At 37.4% G+C, this 7086-nt stretch overlaps 1 pseudogene; it reads left to right on the forward strand.

The window, feature by feature from the left end:
- RBMY2UP (RNA binding motif protein Y-linked family 2 member U, pseudogene) lies at positions 6063–6673 on the forward strand (annotated as a pseudogene).

Raw genomic sequence — 7086 nt, forward strand, 5'->3', positions numbered from 1 at the left:
GTTACATTTTTATTTTGCCGCAAAATTCATAGAATGTAATAGATGGGGGAGAATAACTTAATGGACACTATAGTCTGTCAGTTAATAAAATATTTTTTTCAGGAATATAAATGGTATTTATTTTACTAGAGCTCTGTTAATTAAGGATGTTATTTATTATACACAAACTGAGGACAGAGAAACCGCCTATGTGTGTATATTGTTTCTGTTAATTTTGGAAGTTTGGGTCAAATCACTACATTTATCTCATAAGCAAATAAAATAAGCTGTTCAAATATTATATTACAACCAAAAAGGGAAGATACAAGATTAAGATGACAAAACTTTACATTCCTAATTGACTTATTTTTCTTGCTTTCTTTTGATGTTATTTTACTTATTATTGCTTGTTTCTTATAGATTTCTTTAAAATTCAGTTATTGCTTTTCTCCTTTGTGCATTATTTTATGAAATAAGCAGACACCATGTAGAGTGAGCTTATTGCTAATATTTGAGAGGGGGATGAAATATGGATGACTATTTCATAATAAAAATACTTTTTTAAGGTTGATCAGACTACCACAACTCAAAAAAGTAAAAAATGAAAATTATATAGAACATATTTTGGCATTTTAAATTTTTTTCCTTTGTCAGATGAGTAGATTGCAAAAATTTTCTCCTATTCTGTAGGTTGCCTGTTCACTCTGATGGTAGTTTCTTTTGCTGTGCAGAAGCCCTTTAGTTTAATTAGATCCCATTTGTCAATTTTGGCTTTTGTTGCCATTGCTTTTGGTGTTTTAGACATGAAGTCCTTGCCCGTGCCTATGTCCTGAATGGTATTGCCTAGGTTTTCTTCTGTGGTTTTTATGGTTTTAGGTCTAACATTTAAGTCTTTAATCCATCTTGAATTAATTTTTGTATAAGGTGTAAGGAAGGGATCCAGTTTCAGCTTCCTACATATGGCTAGCCAGTTTTCCCAGCACCATTTATTAAATAGGGAATCCTTTCCCCATTTCTTGTTTTTGTCAGGTTGGTCAAAGATCAGATGGTTGTAGATTAGTGGTATTATTTCTGAGGGCTCTTTTCTGTTCCATTGGTCTATATCTCTGTTTTGGTAGCAGTACCATGCTGTTTTGGTTACTGTAGCCTTGTAGTATAGTATAGTTTGAAGTCAGGTGGCGTGATGTCTCCAGTTTTGCTCTTTTGATTTAGCATTGTCTTGGCAATGCGGGCTCTTTTTTGGTTCCATATGAACTTTAAAGTGTTTTTTTCCAATTCTGTGAAGAAAGTCATTGGTAGCTTGATGGGGATGGCATTGAATCTATAAATTACCTTGGACACTATTTCATGATATTGATTCTTCCTATCCTTGAGCATGGAATGTTCTTCCATTTGTTTGTGTCCTCTTTTATTTCATTGAGTAGTGGTTTGTAGTTCTCCTTGAAGAGGTCCTTCACTTCCCTTGTAAGTTGGATTCCTAGGTATTTTATTCTCTTTGAAGCAATTGTGAATGGGAGTTCATTCATGAATTAGCTCTCTGTTGGTCTTTTATTGGTTTATAAGAATGCTTGGGGTTTTTGCACATTGATTTTGTATCCTGAGACTTTGCTGAAGTTGCTTATCAGCTTAAGGAGATTTTGGGCTGCAGAATGTACAAAGAACTCAAACAAATTTACAAGAAAAAAACAATTCCATCAAAAAGTGGGTGAATGATATGTACAGACACTTCTCATAAGAAGACATTTATGCAGCCAAAAGACACATGAAAAAATGCTCATCATCACTGGCCATCAGAGGAATGCAAATCAAAACCACAACGAAATATCATCTCACACCAGTCAGAATGTCAATCATTAAAAAGTCAGGAAACAACAGCTGCTGGAGAGGATGTGGAGAAATAGGAACACTTTTACACTGTTGGTGGGACTGTAAACTAGTTCAACCATTGTGGAAGTCAGTGTGGCGATTCCTCAGGGATCTAGAACTAGAAACACCATTTGGCCCAGCCATCCCAGTACTCGGTATATACCCAAAGGAATATAATTCATGCTGCTATAAAGACACATGCACACATATGTTTATTGCGGCACCACTCACAATAGCAAAGACTTGGAACCAAGCCAAATGTCCAACAATGATAGACTGGATTAAGAAAATCTGTCACATATACACCATGAAATACTATGCAGCCATAAAAAATGAGTTCATGTCCTTTGTAGGGACATGGATGAAGCTGGAAACCATCATTCTCAGCAAACTATCTCAAGGACAAAAAAAATGCACATTCTCACTCATAGGTGGGAATTGAACAATGAGAACACATGGACACAGGAAGGGGAACATCACACACAGGGTCCTGTTGTGGGGTGGGGGGAAGGGGGAGGGATAGCATTAGGAGATATACCTAATGTAAATGATGAGTTAATGGGTGCAGCACACCAACATGGCACATGTATACATATGTAACAAACCTGCAGGTTGTGCACAAGTACCCTAGAACTTAAAATATAATAAATATATATATATATGTTTTCATATGTATATATACATATATATATGAAAAAACTGAACACACATTTCTGGAAAGAAGACATACAAGTGGCAAACAGGTATCTGAAAAGGTGCTCAATATCATTGATCATCAGATAAATGCAAATCAAAACTATAATGAGATATCCTCTCACTACAGTTAAAATTGCTTTTATTCAAAAGACAGGCAATAGCAAATGGTGGTGAGGGTGTGGCGAATATGGAACCCTCACACACTGTTGGAGGGAATGGAAGTTAGTACAATCACTATGGAAAACAGTTTGGAAGTCCCTCAAAAAAGTAAAAATAGAGCTACCATATGATCCAGCACTCCCGTTTCTAAATACATACCTAAAAGAAAGGAAATCGGTATATTGAAGAGATATCTGCACTCCCATGTTTATTGTAGCACCACTCACAATAGCCAAGATTTGGAAGGAAACTAAGTGTCTATCAACAGAATAATGGATGAAGAAAATGTGGTACATATATGCAAGAGGGTACTATTCAGCCATAGAAAAATGAGATCTTGTCATTTGCAACAATATGGATGGAACTGGAGGTCATTATGTTAAGTGAAATAAGCCATGCACAGAAAGACAAACATTGCATGTTCTCACTTACCTGTGGGAGCTAAAACTTAAAACAATTGAACTCATAGTGATAGAATGTAGATGGATGGTTGCAAGAGGCGGGGAAGGATAATCAGGAGTTGGAAGGTGGAGGGGCAGGGTACATGGTTAATCAGTATAAAAAATAGAATAAAGAAGATGTAGTTTTTGCTAGCACAACAGGGTGACTATATTAAAAAATAATTTAACTGTTCATTTAAAAATAGCTAAAAGTATAATTAAATTATATATTACATTTAAATAATTGAATTACATAAAAAATTTTCCTTTTCTTTTTTTTTTTTAATTCAAAATTTCTTGGGCCACTCTTCCTTTTATTTATGTTATGCTTCTCTTTGCCTACTTCCTTTGCGGCTCTCACAGTGGTGGTATATCCGTGTTTCTAAGTTTTATAGCTGGGTACGCCACTAGCCTCAACTGTTCCTTCAGCTCGTGGTGACAGAGGGTGGCGCGCAGGCAGTTTCTCAGAAAATCAGGAAAATTAGGCAAAAAATTCTTAATTTTAAGCAGAGAGGACATGTTTGTATCTCAGGTGAAAGAATTAATGTCTACATCATCTCCTGCGAATAGAGGAAATGTGTTAATTCAGACCATTTTTCTCAGGCTTTTTTTGGCAAATGTTAAGAAAGGTTATAATTGTTATTATGTGTGGATTTATGTTTATGGGTATAACTGATTTCTTGGCAGGAGTACAAAGACCACGAAGTTTTTGGATTTTTTCTATAAAAGGCGATGGGTTTTCAATGTGTGGGTGTTGAATTATGGGAGGAAACAGTAGGGAGAGGACTCTTTACTGCTTTACTTACTACGAAACTTACTTTCGTTAAACTCGCTGCTTTTTCTTGAGTATTCTTCCCTTTACTATCGGACGTGCCCGACATGTGGGCAAGTTGTGGGAGATGGAGCTAGGGCGCCATTTTTCTCATGTGCACTTTTTGTTAAAGCGGTTTTTCTCTGTGAATGTGGTCCTAATTCAAATATATAGGCAATATACTTAACCACTGTGATTAAAAACTTGTACTTTGGCCTGGCGCGGTGGCTCATGCTTGTAATCCCAGCACCTTGGGAGGCCGAGGTGGGCGGATCTTGAGGTCAGGAGATCGAGATCAGAGTGAAACCCCGTCTCTACTAAACATACAAAAAATTAGCCGGGCGTGGTGGTGGGTGCCTGTAGTCCCAGCTACTTGGGAGGCTGAGGCAGGAGAATGGCGTGAGGCGGGGCTTGCAGTGAGCCCAGATCGTGCCACTGCACTCCAGCCTGGGCGACCGAGCGAGACTCCGTCTCAAAAAAACACCTTGTAGTTTTACTTATCACATGTCAAATTTATGATTTGCTTGACAGGAATTATGAAATTTTGACCTAAATTGCATTACTTTAGTGTATGAGGAAGTCTGGGGCCATAAATAATCTCAGTTTAAATTTGTTTCCGTAAAACCTTTAATTGTCTCCTTCCTTGTATGACAGTATTTGAAACATGTTTCATGTATGTCTGGCACCGTAAATAATTTAAACCGAATAAGTGGGTGTAATCCAGATAAATGGTGATAGATAGCTTAAAACGGAGACAAAATAAATGCGTTTAAGTTATTCTATTAACTTGCCACACTGACTTACTCTTGTAATTCCTACCATTGGGAAGAGGAGATGTGAGGATGGCTTGAAGTCACGAGTTGGAGACCAGTCTGCGAATATAATGAGCCCTTTAATCTATTGCCATTTTGGCGCCAGGGACCGGTTTAGTGGAAGCTATTTTTTCACAGAAAAGAGGTGGGTAGGGGGAGAAGGTGGTGAGGTGGACACCTTGGGGAGGTGGGGGGCGGCCGTTCCAGGAGGAGTACAGTGTAGGAAGGGGTTTCAGGCCAGAGCAGTGTGACGGGGGGCAGTGGTGGGACAGCGGGGCTGCGAGGGGGACAGGGCAGGCCAGCGGGGAATAGGGAGGATGGATTCTGGATGAAACTGTTCCACCTCAGGTCACACTCAGGCATTACAATCTTCTAGGGAGAGCGCCACCTAGATCCTCGTATGCGCAGTTCACAGTAGGGCCCTTACTCCTGTGAGAACCCAATGTCTTCGCTGATCTGACAGGAGGCGGGGCTCAGGCAGTGCCAGAGGTTCACCACCTGTTCTGCAGCCAGGTTCCTAACAGGCCACAGACAGATACCGGTTGGAGACCAGGGTTTGGGGATCCCTGATCTATTGTATATTTCAAATCACTAAAATGTAAAACATTTGAAATGTTCTCCCCCAAGGAAGCATGTATTTTAGTTAGCTTGATTTAATCATTTATTAAAATATCAAGCTGGGCGTGGTGGTTCACCCTTGAAATCTCATCACCTTGGTAGCACCAGGCCAGAAGATAGCTTGAGCCCAGGAGTTTGAGACTAGGTTGGGTACCACGGGGAAACCCATGTCTATTAAAGAAAGACACAAAAAAGTGCCTACTAGCTCTGGTAGTGAGTGCCTGTAGCTTACCCATTAGATGAGACGTGGGAGGATCACTTGAGGTTCGGTAGAGGAGGCTGCAGTGAGCGGTGCACTTTGGCAACAGAAAAATTACATATCAAGAAAAAAATCCACAAAACACACTGTACAGTATATATACATAGTTTTCAAATAAAACTATTTAAATGGAGTATCCTGCGTATTGCAGCTTAAGAAAATTAGAGTAGCTTTTCTCCTCTCATTTTTACAAACAAGTTTTTGTCAGGTACATATTAAAATGCAGCACTTGTCCATGAAGTCAGTGCCCCTTTCACTGTGCATGTTACAAATTTTACATATTTGAAGTAAGAAAATCTAAAAAGATGTCAGCCTCTGCAAGGAAATTTCACTTGAGTTTTCAACACAATATGTAATAAAATTTTATCTTTTTGGCTTATTTATTATCTAAATATAGATTTTTTGTTACCATTTACAGCAAAATGGTAGAAGCAGATAGGCCTGGCAAGCCTTTCATTGGTGGCCTCCGTTTAGACACCAGTTAAAGACACTTAAAGCAGTATTTGGGAATTATGGTCTCATATTGGAAGGCAACTGTTATATATATATGTGTGTGTGTATATATATGTATCTACATATACATGTTGGTTATATATATTTTTTAAAGTAAATATATACTTAATGTATTTACTGGATATATAAAATATTTATTTGTTTTTAAACTGTTATTTTTGGATTTCTATTTGATATTGGGAAAATTCTCATAGCAGCAGGTGAAGGGTCTGTGGTAAATGTCACCTACTACTGAAAAATGAAAATGAGCAAAAGTAAATGTGTTGTGGACGCATGGAACAAATTGGAATAAAATAGGCTGACTATAGAGGTGACTTAGTATTAAAAGAATCATAGTAATGATGTGAAATGCATTTTTTGGGTTTGTTAGTACTACAGTGAGTCCATTAGATAAATGTAAAATATTTTCATATATTTTTGTTCTTCTGATAAATGATTGGGAAACCAGCAAGTTCAGATGCTTTGCATTTATTTTGAGAAAGCTGCAGATGCTAAAAATGTTGTCAAAGATATGAATGGAAATGTTAACAGTTCCTTATTAATAATATCCTAACTGTTCTTCACTTAACAGCATTTCAAGGTCTTTTTAGTATTACTAAACTTTTGAAGATAGCATAATGTCATATGATCTGAAATGCTTTAGCTATCCTCTTCTTTTTGCCATATTAAGTACAAGTGTAGTTGGAAGGATATTGGAATAAACCTTACATAAATTAATATATGGTAATCATATTTGTATGTTAGTATTTCAATACAAGTGTAAATAGATTTTCAAAGCTTTCAAGCAGCTTTAAAACTTAGGAGAAACCCTCACAAAAATGAGAGAAATAAGTCAGTATCTATCAAATGCTATTAATGGAATTACTTCCAATTCATGGAAATACTTCTATAGCATAGACAAACTATGGGTAGACAGCTAGATAGACTTACAAG

Source organism: Homo sapiens, chromosome Y, assembly GCF_000001405.40.
Source record: "Homo sapiens chromosome Y, GRCh38.p14 Primary Assembly".
Classification (NCBI taxonomy): domain Eukaryota; kingdom Metazoa; phylum Chordata; class Mammalia; order Primates; family Hominidae; genus Homo; species Homo sapiens.